Consider the following 14,556-nt stretch of genomic DNA (forward strand, 5'->3'; position numbering starts at 1 on the left):
TGAGACCCTATCTCAAATACGTAAATAAATAAAAATTTAAAATGAAGCATAAATAAACCTGAGCGACACATTTAATACCAGAGATAAACTACACAGTTGTCCCATTGTCTCAGCCTAGACGATAAACAAGCTGCTTCTCCTTTGTCCTTTCTACTTTAAAAAGTCACAAGAGGTTAAAATCTAATGAGTTGGAGTATATGAAGAAGATTAGCCTTCTAGTTGAGTATAATATTGTCTTCCCAAAGGTACGGGCAGAACCGCAGACACAGTTAACGTTTCTGCCTGACATTGCTTGATGCTGTTTTGCTCAGACTGGTAGCTTAGCAGCTGGAGGCTAAAAAGTCAAGTTTCCAGGGAGAGGAGGAAGGCTTTCTGGACAAAGGGCAAGTGGACTCCGGGCCAGGGGCATAGCCGGTGTCCTCTCAAGAGTGGTGGCAGTTTTAAATGGGTTATAAACAAACACTGCCATGTTGTTCTGAGAGGTTCCAGCTGCCTTAGGCAGAGGCTTTGGATCTGTGCAAGCGCCAAAGCTGGCTTTCATAGGTGATGGGTGGAACTGAAGGATCACTTAAGACATTTGTGACCCTGAATATCCATGTCCCTTGAAGCTTTACACACACACATCCAAGGTAGAGTTGGTTTTCCCAAAGACAATTGCTGCTAAGGAGTTTGAACTGTGTAACAGTTTAGACCAGCCAGTGGCTTTGTAGAGACCTTTGAGAGTTACAATTAGGTTGCTGCTCAGATTGCATAATGCCAGGACTGTGCTCCATTGTTCCCAGCTCTTGCATTCAGTATTTTATTGTTTCACATTGTGCTTTAACTTGCTACAGAACATTAACAGCAGTAGCCAGTAGTTGAATGTTTTCCAAACCTTTCAAATTTGTAGAGCTGACTGTGCCACACTGGCTAATGAAAATTTCATGGTTCCAGGAGTGCTGGCTTTATCAACAATTATCTTGGTGATCTTGTATGGTCTATCATGTGTAAAACAGCATTATGTGCTTTTGCTTAACTTTTATAATTGTTGCTAAACAATTGTTTAAAATTACTGCATAAATGCTTTTAAAATAAATTTTGAAGCTCTTTGACATCAGTGCCCTCTGCCTGGTGGAAAGTAATGATTTTTAACGTTCTGATTTGGTGTTTGTTGGTGGAGTGTGTGTGTGTGTGTGTGTGTTTACTGGGAACAGGCTCTATCTGTTGGTGCTTTACTAAATTAATGGATTCTAGACATTAAAGCAAACCAAAAATATTTCACCTGCAAATATACTTTTCTGACATATTTCGAGATGGGTATTCAGAGGGCCTGCAGACAGGAATAGCCCAGCAAAACTGCCTTTTGTGGAGGAGATTTGCATCTGCAGAGAAAATCTGCATAGGTGAAATAAACAGCCAGGCTTTCTCTGAGGCTCCTCCCTTGTCTACATCTAGGAAAGATTGACTGAGAGCCTGACGCCTTTAAAGGTCTGACAGAAACATTCACCACAGGCTACCATCTATTCTTTCTGAGGGCTGCTCCCTGGGAAGTTTCATCTACATAAAAAGATGGCCTTTGCTCCATGCCTTTCTTCCTCTTCTCTACCTCCCATGACTTGCATGCTCTAAACCCCTATTCTTTCTGTAACCTTAAGACGGTACAAAAGCATCAACCATCTGGCCATTTTTTTGCATTTTCATATTTTGTGTGACTCCCAGCATGTAATAAATATTTATGGCATTTTTTTCTGTTAATCTTTGTATCATCAATTTGTTTTATAGGCTCAAATGAGTGAACCTTCAGGGGAAAAATGTAAACTTTTCTACAGCATTCATGATCACTTTAGGCTGTAGGTGTTGGTAAGTTTCTAAGCATTTGGGGATGTAGCTCTCTTTGCTTCACCATTAACCATCCTTTGACATTCAAAATGTCGTTGGACCACCAGCATGGCATTACTCAGGAGCTTATTAGAAATGCCGTCTCAGAGGCTCACCTTAAATATGGTATATAGTGGCAGAATCTGCATTTCAGCAAGATCTCCATGTGATTCCTATGCACATGCAAGTGAATCAGCAAGTAGGCCATGGAAGGAATTAAGAGATCTCTTTTCTCAAAACATCTCCCACTGAGCCAGGATTGTCATTATTTAGAATGAATTTCTCTAGTTTATGCCCCTTTTTATGAAATATCCCTGGTCTGCATACATAACTCAGCAAGTCATTTTCAGTTCAAAGCCTTCATGTGATCCATCCACTTGAGACAAATGGCAAAGAGCAGGTTGATTGGAAGGTGAGGGTTGGGGGAGGGAAGTAGAGTAGAAAAATGCAGTGCCGGCCAGGCGCGGTGGCTCACGCCTGTAATCCCAGCACTTTGGGAGGCCGAGGCGGGCAGATCACGAGGTCAGGAGATTGAGACCATCCTGGCTAACACGGTGAAAGCCCATCTCTACTAAAAATACAAAAAAATTTAGCCGGGTCTGGTGGCAGGCGCTTGTAGTCCCAGCTACTCGGGAGGCTGAGGCAGGAGAATGGTATGAACCCGGGAGGCGGAGCTTGCAGTGAGCCGAGATCCTGCCACTGCACTCCAGCCTGGACGACAGAGCAAGACTCCGTCTCAAAAAAAAAAAAAAGGAAAGAAAAATGCAGTCCTTTTGGTGGAAGAAAGTGGGCCAGCTCTATGACCATGGTTCCCTGGGACCGGGAAGCTGTGCCACAGTGGTGGGCAGGAAGTAACAAAAATACCAATCAATAATGCTCACAATAATGGTAAATAACTGTTGGTTCGGGGGTTCCTAAACTTGTTTCACAATCAGAATCACCTGGGTGGTAGAAGGGGACTTCTGTTTTTAAAATTATTTTTAAGGAATGGGGTCTCACTCTATCACCCAGGCTGGAGTGCAGTTGCACGATCCTAGTTTGCTGCAGCCTGGAACTCCTGGGCTCAAGCCATCCTCCTGCCTCCACCTCCCAAGTTGCTGGGACTACAGGTGTATGCCACCATGCTCGGCTAATTTTTTAATTTTTATCTTTATTTTTGTAGAGATGGAGTCTCAATATGTTGCCCAGGCTTGCCTCAAATTCCTGGTCTCAAGTGATCCTCCCGTCTTGGCCTCCCAAAGTGCTGAGATTACTGGTGTGAGCCACCTCACCCTGCCGAGGCTTCTTAAAAAATATAGATTCCCCAGAGGCAGGGACCCACCCTGCGTTTACGCCATCAGGAGAAACCTGACAATCTGTGTTTTAAACTAGTGCCTCAGGTATTAAAATTTATGCAGGACCAAGCAGAAGGTGAGCCTGGATCCTGTGGCTGATGATCCAAAAATATTATATCCAGGGCTCACAATAAGCCTAAAATATATTATGACATTTTCCTAACTGCATTTTATAATGGAGAAGTTGGGTTGCTTGCCCAGTGTCACACAGGCAGCGGGCAACAGATGGAGGATTCCATCGTAGATCTGTCTGACTCCAAAGTCTTTGTTCTGTCTATTCTTATACCACTTTCCATAAAGCCACTAGGGCTGAAGTGCTATCTTACTCAGGGCACATTCTGGTTGCCTCATCTCCCTTCTGTGGGGGTGATGGTTTCTGCAGAAGTTCCCTAATCTGACCTCAAATTATGACATCAGTATCTAGGCTTGAGTAGAATTGTGCAAGGAGACCAGACTGGTGAATTAACAAGGATGGTCCCCTCCTTCTTCCCCTTCTGTTGTGGTTAATAACTAGTAACTCAGACCCTATGATACTGATCCCCATAGGGATGAGAAACAGGGCTCTCTTGGGTAATTGAAAATTTCTGGTTGCCTGGGTATTGAGGCAGTTTCCAAAAGTGATGGAAGCAAGCACATATTGCTCCTGCCCTCTGAGACCTTATTTTGTTCCAATAAATCCCTAGAAAGAAAATACAGCAATTTAGTACAGCAATGTTAAATAGTGATAGTAGAGGGAACAGGGCACCATCTGGGACATTTGAATAATTGTCAAGGTTGGCTTTTCTTTAAATGCTGCTTATTGCTCAGTCCACCCATATTAAATCACTAGAGCTACAAGTCATCTGGTGGTGATTTTTTGGCATTACAAGATTGCGCTTGCATATTAAATTCCTCAACTTAGGCTCAGTTTGGGAATTCAAAATGCAGCATTTGATCCTCATCTGTATTTAATCTTCTGTTGTTGGTTACAGCTCCTTTTACAGGTTTATTTAAAAAACTTTTGATTCTGATACGGTCATGTTGAATAGTGGTTTCCCATGCAGGGTGTGCAAACCACCCAAAAATTATCTTTTTCATGGCAACATTAAAAAATTTTAATTTATGTGTATGTTATAATGTATATAATATTGGACTATAGTGGTAGAACATGTATATAATTTGTAAATAAATACAGATAAACATGGGGGGATACATGATTCAAAAGTTTTCTCCCTTTGAAATGTTGGCTCAAAGTTTACAAACTTTTCATCCAATATATTACCTCTTCCTAGCAGCATCATGTTATCTTCTCATTTAATAAGAGAGCCTTCATCTTTGTCAATTCATGTTTACTGAACTATGTAGGATTATGTGAATGTTCCAGCATATATAAGAGGATAAGACATTTGCTGTTCTTAGGACGTTTAACTATCTGGATGGAGATGATGATGATAATAGTGGTAATTTTGGAGGAGGTGACAATGTTAATGGTGGTGATGATGCTGATGTTGCTGGTGATGATGATGGCCAAGAAAGAGATAAAGAAGAAAGTCTTATTTATGGTTGAGATTAAAGCAAAATGGGAATTGAAGGCTTCTCCTCCCTGCGATCTGGTAATGCAACATCTTTACCTAGCAGTGATGCTCTTCCCTGCTTGTTCATCTTCCTTCCAATATAGCTTAAAAATACTTTTTAGTCATCCTCAGCATGTACTATAAATCTCAGCTTCCTAGGATTTGAGCCTTGTGCAGGAGGTTTTTTCTAAGCCCCTTCCACTCTTCTGTATGTATTTTGGTCCTCAGTGCTCCACAAGCTGTGAAAGCTGTGAGTCATGATTCCCATATGGTGGGATTCCCTCCCCTCCCCTCCATCCACATGCTTGCCCTGCCATCTGCTGCCACTCTCAAGGTTATAGAGCAAGAGATAATGCAGGGAAGGGAAAGGAAAACACCAGGAAAACCAACACTGTTTTATAAGTAAAATAGAAAAAAAAAGATGTATTTTTCTTACTACGAAAACAACTGTATTCACTACAGAGAAATAAAAAACGGAAGCACAAAACCAAACCAAACCAAACCAAACCAAACCTAACCAAACCCAACCCAACCAACCCAACCCAATCCAAACAAAACAGTCTCCCTCTGAGCATCATTCATCACTTTAACCATCTCCATGTATGTTTTTCCAAATCTGTATTCTGTATCTATCTATGAAGCCAGCTATCAAATAAAATAAGATCATTACCACATATTTTTGTGACCTGTTTCTTGTTTAACTGAATCATGAACATCTTTTCATGTCAGTAAATGTACCCCTAAACTACCTTTTTTTTTTTTTTTAAGACAGAGTCTCACTCTGTCGTCCAGGCTGGAGTACAGTGGTGCAATCACAGCTCACTTCAGCTTTGACCCCCCGGGCTTAAGCAATCCTCCCACCTCAGCCTCCTGGATAGCTGAGTAGCTGGGACTACAGGCATGTGCCTCCATGCCTGGGCTCAAGCGATCCACCCACCTCAGCCTCTCAAATTTCTGGGATTACAGGTGTGAGCCACCATGCTCGGCCCACACTAGCATTTTAATATTTAATGAATATTTTCTATGCAAAGCATTATTCCAATTGCTGCAGTTTATACAGAAAAATAGGTAAGATAGTCTCTGCCCTCATGTGGGTATGGCATCATTTTTTTCTCCCTATCTAACATTTAGGTTATTTCCATATATTTGCTTTTACAAATAATGCTGTGATGAATATCCTTGTAGCTAAGTCCATGCATATGCTCATAATTTTAGAATGATTGTGCTGGCTACTCTCTGTTTGCCCCTCTGGTCTACTCTTCATTCTTGTCTGCCTTGGTCCATGGACCACATCAGGGCTCATTTGCCCTCTGGCAATGTGCAGCTCATGCAGGGCTTTGGGGAGGGCGGTAGAGAAGGGTGGGTGATATATTGTGACTCCTATCCTGCCTCCCTGTAGGCTGTCATTAGCTGCATTCTTGTATTGATGGTTGTGGTGCCTGGGTAGCCCTCTCCCAGAGCTTAGTTCTCAGGATGTTGCAAACCCCAAGGTAATGCACCATTCCTTGTTAGTTTCCTTTAACCTTGCCCTTGCCTTTATAGAGAGTTCTTTATTAAACCTTTCTCACTTACCCCATGTGAGTTTGCCATCTGTTTCCTGGCAGGACCCTGGATGATAAATGCATGCTCCTATTCCTAGCATATTCTGCATCCCTAATTGCTCACCTGCATTGGGAACTTGGGATGGATTGTGTAGGAAGGTCAAGAGCTCCCTTTTTGTTGACTGAAGGACTGGATACCCGTGATCATTGAGCAGCCATCTTCCATTTCTTTCTCCTGGACCCCTCCAGGCTCTGATGGGGATTTCTCAACCTATGCCTGTGGCACTCTGCTGGGGCCCAGAGGAAAGAATCAAGAGAGCCCTTAGTCCTCCTGCTCAGAGCTTTGACCTCAAGTATGTGAGAATTTCACCTTGTTCAGGATGCTCGAAACCTTCCCTAGAGTCCAAGTGAGGTGGGAAAGGTTGTTGTGGTCATTTCTTATCCTTTTAAACACCTGAGCTCACAGCAAAATTTGTTTATTAAATTATTTCTCTAGTTTTAAACAGTATTACAATTTTTTTTTTTTTTTGAGACAGGGTCTCGCTCTGTGGCCCAGGCTGGAGTGCAGTGGCATGATCACGGCTCAATGCAGCCTCAACCTCCTGGGCTCAAGCGATCCTTCCACCTCAGCCTCCCAAGTGGCTGGGACCACAGGTATGCACCACCGTGCCCAGCTAACTTTTGTATTTTTCGTGGAAGTAGGGTCTCCCTGTGTTGCCCAGGCTGGTCTTGAACACCTGGGCTCAAGCCATCTGCCCACCTCAGCCTCTCAAAGTGCTGGAATTACAGGCGTGAGCCACCATGCCTGGCCTATGGTATTCTTATTAAATAGCCAGAAGTATATTTTCAGAGCTTCTAGCTTGGATTAGAGTCCCCTGATACTATTTCTTCTGTGATTCTATCTTTTCTGTGCATCAGTAGAAATGTGTTTTCCTAAAGTCTACAACCAGTTTTACCTTCCTTGCCTTTGGATTTTCAGATAACACAATCAATCCCTTTATTCAAAGGTTCTTCACACTTCTGTTTAATCAATTGTTCTTGACTGTTCAGAATGAAGTGTCTGTCGCATTTCTTTTGTTACCTTCTGTTCAATGAAATTGTTAGCAAGCCTAGTCAAAAATGATCAAATACTCTTCTTTTTGGTGGCAAATGAGAGTTTTCCATGGAGGAGCTTTGGAGGAGGGTTGTAGACAAGGGTGGGTGATATATTGTGACCCCTACCCTGCCTCCCTGTAGGCTGTCATTAGTGCATTCTTGTATTGACGGTTGTGGTGCCTGGGTAGCCCTCTCCCAGAGCTTAGTTCTCAGGAAGTTGCTAACGCCAAGGTAATGCACCATTCCTTGTTAGTTTCCTTTAATCTTGCCCTTGCATACCCTGCATATTTGGGGTCCCCATCGTATTGCCCCGGACCCCGCTCCTTAATAAATTACTGCCTTTGGGAATTCCAGTTCCCAGAGGTGGGCACTAGGAGAAAGTTGGTTTCAGAGTCAGAAAGATCTGGAGTTTAATCTAATCATTATTTATTTATTTATTTATTTATTTATTTATTTATTATTATTTACTTGGCCCTGCCTAAGCAGGACCTCAAAAATTTGGTTATTAATTAATAATTGTTCCTCTCCATGGAAATCTTTAGTAAAAGGCCAAATATTTATTTGTTCTGAAGAGAAACCAGAGCATCCAATATTATTGGCTGTGTGAATCTAAGGCTTCTGCCTTACTGAGTTGCAAGCTTCCTGACTCAGCTCACAGATTATAAGAAGTAAATGGATTGACCTCTACGGAAATAATCAAGCACAGTGTGAGGAACTGTGGTTGCTCAGTCTGTGACTTATCCTCCCCAACTCCCTTTCCCACTTCCTCTTGCCATGCCTCTTCCCTCCTCCCTCTCCCCATCTCCCTCCCCCTTCCCTCTCTTCTACATTTCCCCTTTTCTTGCTACTTTCCATTTCCTGTCCCCACCTCTTCTCCTCCCTACTCCTCATCTCTCCTCTACACTTTCTATATGAGACTAACACGAGGACAAGAGGAATTAAAAACCAAGTCAGAAATATGTCAGATAGTTCCATTTCTCTTTGAAAACAAATCTTAGATGTGCAGGGCATTGTACTCAGAAGGAAAACTCCCAATCATAAATCCAGGCTCCAAAAGGCTTTTCCAATACGCCCCATTTAGTTCATGAACTCTCACCGTGGAGCATCAAGGACACAAAGAATGGCAGGAAACTGCTGATAATGTTCATTATTTTCCCAGTCTTTGAAAAATGCCCGTTTAATGTTTTGGACTGAAGATTTTTCCTGGTGAATCAAAAGATAAACTCTTAAAGTGGTTACATGATATATCAAATGGTCTTATCTGGTGGAAGCCAGCCGGCTAGCTAACATGAGCCAGTTCAGTAATTCTGAGGTGTTTGGAGTCAAGCTGGGAAAGGGATCCTGGGTTTCAGGAAACTGCTGTATCAGCTGATGGGGGCTGCTCTAAATGTTGGCTGGAGAAATGCACTTTGGGCCCTTTGCACCAAAATTTAGATTTACCTGGTTTCTCTTCTCAATTCTTACAAATCCTTAGCTTATCAAGGAAAATCAATGATCTTAAGATCTTTTAAGACTTTGCCCCACAATATGATGACAGAAAATATATTTTATCTTAAAATTTTATTACACTATATTATATATATAAAATAAATAATAAATATAATGTATAATATATATGTAAGTTGTGAAGACTATTGACATATAAACACACAGAGGCTGGAACATTAATATCTGGGTTGTTCTCCATGATGTCTGCCTCTCCCACCAAAATACCTGCTCTCCTGAATTTTGCATTCCCCTTCTTTAAAAACAAACTACTGAGTTTTCTGAGCTTCTTCCTAAGGAGTCAGGAGACTCGTGGTCTGGTTCCTGGATTTTCCTCACAACACAGCTCCCATATGCCTTTCTCCACTCATGCCTCAAAAGGAGAAACCAAGACCACTTTCTCCTCTGAGACAGGCAGAGACATCAGCCTTTCTGGGCTTGCTGAAGAAGGGAGAAAAAAAACTACAAGAAGCTATTGAACATATTGATGAAGTAAAAAATGAAATAGATTTAATGAACTAGCCAGTGAGAAGATTTTGACAGTAGAACAGAAATATAACAAACTCTGCCAACCATTTTTTCAGAAGAGGTCAGAATTGATCCCCCAAATCCCAAATTTTGGGGTAACAGCATTTGTCAGTCATCTGTAATCACCCAACGGATTCTTCCTGCCTGCTGCACAGATAAAATCAATTCACTGAGACCATGGTATTGTAGTAGAGGAAGAGTTTAATTGACACGAGTCCGGCCACGCAGGAGATGGAGTTATTACTCAAATCAGTCTCCCTAAAGGCTTGGAGGTTAGGGGTTTTCAAGGATAGTTTGGTGGGCAGGGGACTAGGGAATGGGAAATGTTGATTGGTTGGGGATGAAATCATAGAGGTGTGGAAAATGGTCTTTGTGCACTGAGTCAGCCTCTAAGTGGGGGCTGTAGGACCAGTTGGGTCATGAGCTGCAGTCACAGTCCAGGTAGAGTCATCTGAGTAGAGTCATCCCATCATCAGAAATGCAGAAGTCTGAAAAAATATCTCGAAAGGCCAACCTTAGGTTCTACAGTAAGGATGTTACCTACAGAAGTAATTAGGGAAGTTACAAATCTTGTGAACCCTGGAACAGTTGTTTATGCTTACAATTTAACAGAATTTTGGCCCCTCTCATAATCCTAAACTTGTGGGCTTTGATTCATTTTACAAAGGTGGTGGTGGTTTAGTTTTGGGAAGGGCTATTATCATCCTTGCTTTGGTTAAACTCTAAACTAAATTATTCCTCAAATTAGCTTAGCCTATACCCAGGAATGACAAAGGACAGCTTGGAGGTTAGAAGCAAGATGGAGTCAACTATGTCAGATTTATCTTACTCTCATAATTTTGCAAAAGTAATTTCACATCTGTAAGTGTCTGCACTGCTTGGGGAAGAGGAAGAAGAGGCACCTTGAGCAATATACAATGGGAAAAGAGTCTCTACCCCTTTCTGTTTCAATTCATTTTTATCCCTTTCTGTCTCAACGAAAACTGTATGGAATCAACACCACTGAGCTCTGCGGGAAAAAAGAAAAATCTGCTTCCTTTGCTCTGCTGGAAGCAGAAGGGTGTTAGGCCCCTGTGTGGTAGAGCATAGAATTCTAGCTTTTTTCCTTCTCAGAAAGAACACTGTGTCTCTTTGTGAATAAGGACAATTAGCATTTACCAACATGCATCCGTCTACTTTCTCTTGTTTAAAAACATAAAAAAGAATTTTTTAAAATGGGGTTCTAGGAAGTCAGTAAAGGTTAGGTTTGAGATGTTTGGATGGGTGAAGTGGGCATTTTGACAACATGGTTTCTCCTTTGGTATGTTTAATTGTGGTTTTTTTTTTTAAGCATCAGTTTGGTGAAAAATAATTTTGATGTTTACCAGGCATCCTTGCAGTTTAAGATGACACTAAAAATGAATTCTCTCCTACTGATGACTTGAGCCCTGCCACTTGCTAGAAGAATCAGCAGAACCTGTAGGATCTCATTTGGAATTGGCATGCTCTATTGTAATTTTGTCCGTGTTTATTTTTAAATTTTGATTTACTGGAAAGGAAAGATGATGCTCAGTTTTAAATGTTAAACGTGTACAAGTTGCTTTTGTTACAAAAGACTAAATGTGTACACAAAAACAAAAAAAAATTACTCTTACCAGATGCATTTCTGAACAATTTGTTTAGTTTTGCTTGTTTTTGAGCTTTATGCAAATGTCATAATAATGTATGTAGTGTTTTTTTCCTTCAAGTTTCTAACATTTATCAGTTCATCCGTATCATCGTTTGTAGTTGGTATTCATTTCTTTTTACTAGTGCCTTTGGCCAGGCACGGTGGCTCACGCCTGTAATCCCAGCAATTTGGGAGGCCAAGGTGGGTGAGGTCAGGAGTTTGAGACCAGCCTGGCCAACATGGTGAAACCCCGTCTCTACTAAAAATACAAAAAATTAGCTGGGCTTGGTGGCAGACGCCTGTAATCCCAGCTACTTGGGAGGCTGAGGCAGGAGAATCGCTTGAACCCGGGGGGTGGAGGTTGCAGTGAGCCCATATCACGCCACTGCACTCCATCCTGGGCAACAAGAGTGAAACTCTGTCTCAAAAAACAAACAAACAAACAAACAAAACACCACAACTAGTGCCCTTACATTTCATTTGGTGAATGTACACAATTCATTTATCCATACCACTGTCTATAAATATTTTGGTTGTTTATTGTTTCTGGGTGTTTGCATAATAGTCTTGCTAATGTAGATGAGACATATATTAATAAGAGAGCTGGTCACGGTGGCACATGCCTGCAGTCTCAGCTACTCAGGAAGCTGAGGCAGGAGGACCATTTGAGACCAGGAGTTCAAGGATGTAGTGCACTATGATTGTTCCTGTGAATAGCCATTGCACTCCAGCCTGCGCAATATGGCAAGACCCCATCTCTAAAAACAAAAAAGAATTATAAGAATTTTTATTATTCCTTTGTCGAATTGTCATAAACACTAGGTTAATTTTTCTAGTGTCCCTTTGCTCTTTTTCTCATTTCATCATTGCGATTCATCACCTAAAGAAACTTAGATGCAGGAAAAAAATAAATGATTTGCCCATGCTCTGTTATCACTGCTGTTATTTTCACTGCTGTCAACTCCAAGAATGAGTTAAGTCCTCTCTTGATTCTTCTTGTCCAAACAAAGAAGAGTGCCTTCCATTCTGATACCAGAATTTGAAAGATATTTATTATGATCTCATAAATTTATGACCCAAGAGGCAGTGTGTTATAGAGAAAATAATGTAAGCTCCGGAAGCAGGAAGATTTGGGTTTTAAAATGCTGGCATCAGCACTGGTGCTAGGGGAAGTGTTGTGCAAATTACTTTATTCTAAACCTCATTTTCTCATCTGCAAAATGGAGATAGCAATGTCTTCCTCTAAGGATGGCACACTAATTATATCAGGGAAGATGTGTGAAAGGTCCAGTCATCACATTATAAAATAAGGAACAGAGGGGGCTCACAGCCTGACCAGTGGAACTCATGATCCTACCCTAAAACCGACTCAGGTGGAATAAAAAGAGATCAGTTCTGGCTTGTTCAATTTCTGACATTTCCATGGATGGGTCTGGCCCAGAACACAGATTAGTGAGGTCTTTTGTTCACTGGATGGTAATATAATGTCTTGATTTTCTTCAGGATATCAGATTTTTCTTCCAAAACCTATCTTATGGGTTTTTTTTTTTTTTTTTTTTTTTTTTTTTTGAGACAGAGTCTAGCTCTGTTGCCCAGGCTGGAGTGCAGTGGCCTGATCTCAGCTCACTGCAACCTGCGCCTCCCGGGTTCAAGCAATTCTCCTGCCTCAGCCTCCCAATTAGCTGAGACTACAGGTGCACACCGCCATGCCCGGCTAATTTTTTGGATTTTTAGTAGAGACGGAGTTTCATTGTGTTAGCCAGGATGGTCTCGATCTCCTGACCTCGTGTCCGCCTGCCTCGGCCTCCCAAAGAGTTGGGATTACAGGCGTGAGCCACCGCGCCCAGCCTTTTGTGGGTTTTTTTTTTCTTTTTCTTTCTTTTTTTTTTTTGCTATGAGGAGGGGTTTTAATGAAGAGACTCTTTACAAAGAGTCACCCTCATCCCCTCATCTTGTGGGTTGTTTTTAACAGTTCTTTCGGCTGGTCGCCGTGGCTCATGCCTGTAATCCCAGCACTTTGGGAGGTGGAAGCAGGTGGATTACCAGAGGTCAGGAGTTTCAGACCAGCCTGGCCAACATGGTGAAACCCCATCTCCACTAAAAATACAAAAGTTAGCTGGGCGTGGTGGTGGGCGCCTGTAATCCCAGCTACTCTGGAGGCTGACGCAGGAGAATCTCTTGAAGCCGGGAGGTGGATGTTGCAGTGAGCCGAGATTGTCTGCACTCCAGCCTGGGCGACAGAGCGAGACTCTGTTTAAAAAAAAAAAAAAACCAACCAACCAAACAAACAACCCCGTCCCCCCGACCCCCCACCCCCGTCAGTTCTTTCATGCTGAGATAATAGCATAAAATTTCTTTGTACTTTCTGTTTGGCTGTGAAGGAAACCAGAATGTGTCACCTCAAAATATGCCTCTTTGACATAAATATTTTTGAGCTAAAGGCAAATAAGAATCAGCAATCAGAGGAAGAGCTCTTTCTATTCCCCACCCCTTCACTTTTTGCCTAAAGAGAGGACATAAATTCTCCTTTACTGGAGACAACTCTTATCAGCTCAGAGATGGCACCAGAGGAATCTACTAACAAAACTTGCTCCATTAGGTTACTCCCATGTATTGACCTTTCCATGGTTTCCCACCTTTGGAAGCCTAAAACTGCTTTTCTTTGTGTGTTACTTCCCTAAAATTCATGGTTCTTTGTTAAAGATGCTATATAAACCAGAGTTCTAAGCCACTGCTTTGAGTTACCTGTCACTGAGATTTCTTTTATGTGATGTGCACTGCATGGTTAATAAAATTGCTTGTTTTTCTGTTGTTAATCTGTCTTTTGTTACAGGGGTCAGTCCTAACTATGAACTTATGAGGGTTGAGGAGAAGTTATACTTCCTCCCTGACCCAGAACACAGATTAGTGGAAATCTGGCCAGGCGCGGTGGCTCACGCCTGTAAATCCCAGCTCTTTGGGAGGCCGAGGCAGGCGGACACGAGGTCAGGAGATCGAGACCATCCTGGCTAACACAATGAAACTCCGTCTCTACTAAAAATCCAAAAAATTAGCCGGGCATGGCGGTGTGCACCTGTAGTCTCAGCTAATTGGGAGGCTGACACAGGAGAATTGCTTGAACCCGGGAGGCGCAGGTTGCAGTGAGCTGAGATCACGCCACTGCACTCCAGCCTGGGCAACAGAGATAGACTCTGTCTCAAAAAAAAAAAAAAAAAAAAAACCCATAAGATAGGTTTTGGAAGAAAAATCTGATATCCTAAAGAAAATCAAGACATTATATTACCATCCAGTGAACAAAAGACCTCACTAATCTGTGTTCCGGGCCCAAATCTGTGTTCTGGAAAGAAAGAAAAATAAATGATCAGTGTATAAAAATTAAGGAGAGCATGCTGGATTCTATTGGATAGAAATTTAAGTTAATTAATGCGAATTCATGTTAAGGCTATCACATCACATAAAGCATTTAAACCCAGATATTGAACCAGAGCTCATAAGAATTGTGATCCTGTCTGTCT

The 14,556-nt window shown here is 41.9% G+C and overlaps 2 pseudogenes, besides 1 other annotated feature; one reads left to right on the forward strand and one right to left on the reverse strand.

Annotated features, from left to right (window-relative positions):
• Positions 329-1,241: an enhancer, noted in NCBI's record as "NANOG-H3K27ac hESC enhancer chrX:15926789-15927701 (GRCh37/hg19 assembly coordinates)". NCBI's record gives its function as "activates a minimal SCP1, AML or CMV promoter by ChIP-STARR-seq in naive H9 embryonic stem cells {active_cell/tissue: H9 hESC(naive)}" and the evidence as "EXISTENCE:reporter gene assay evidence [ECO:0000049][PMID:30033119]".
• RNU5F-7P (RNA, U5F small nuclear 7, pseudogene) lies at positions 7,852-7,966 on the reverse strand (annotated as a pseudogene).
• On the forward strand, positions 9,138-9,510 carry SETP15 (SET pseudogene 15; annotated as a pseudogene).

The sequence above is a fragment of the Homo sapiens genome, chromosome X (assembly GCF_000001405.40).
Source record: "Homo sapiens chromosome X, GRCh38.p14 Primary Assembly".
Classification (NCBI taxonomy): domain Eukaryota; kingdom Metazoa; phylum Chordata; class Mammalia; order Primates; family Hominidae; genus Homo; species Homo sapiens.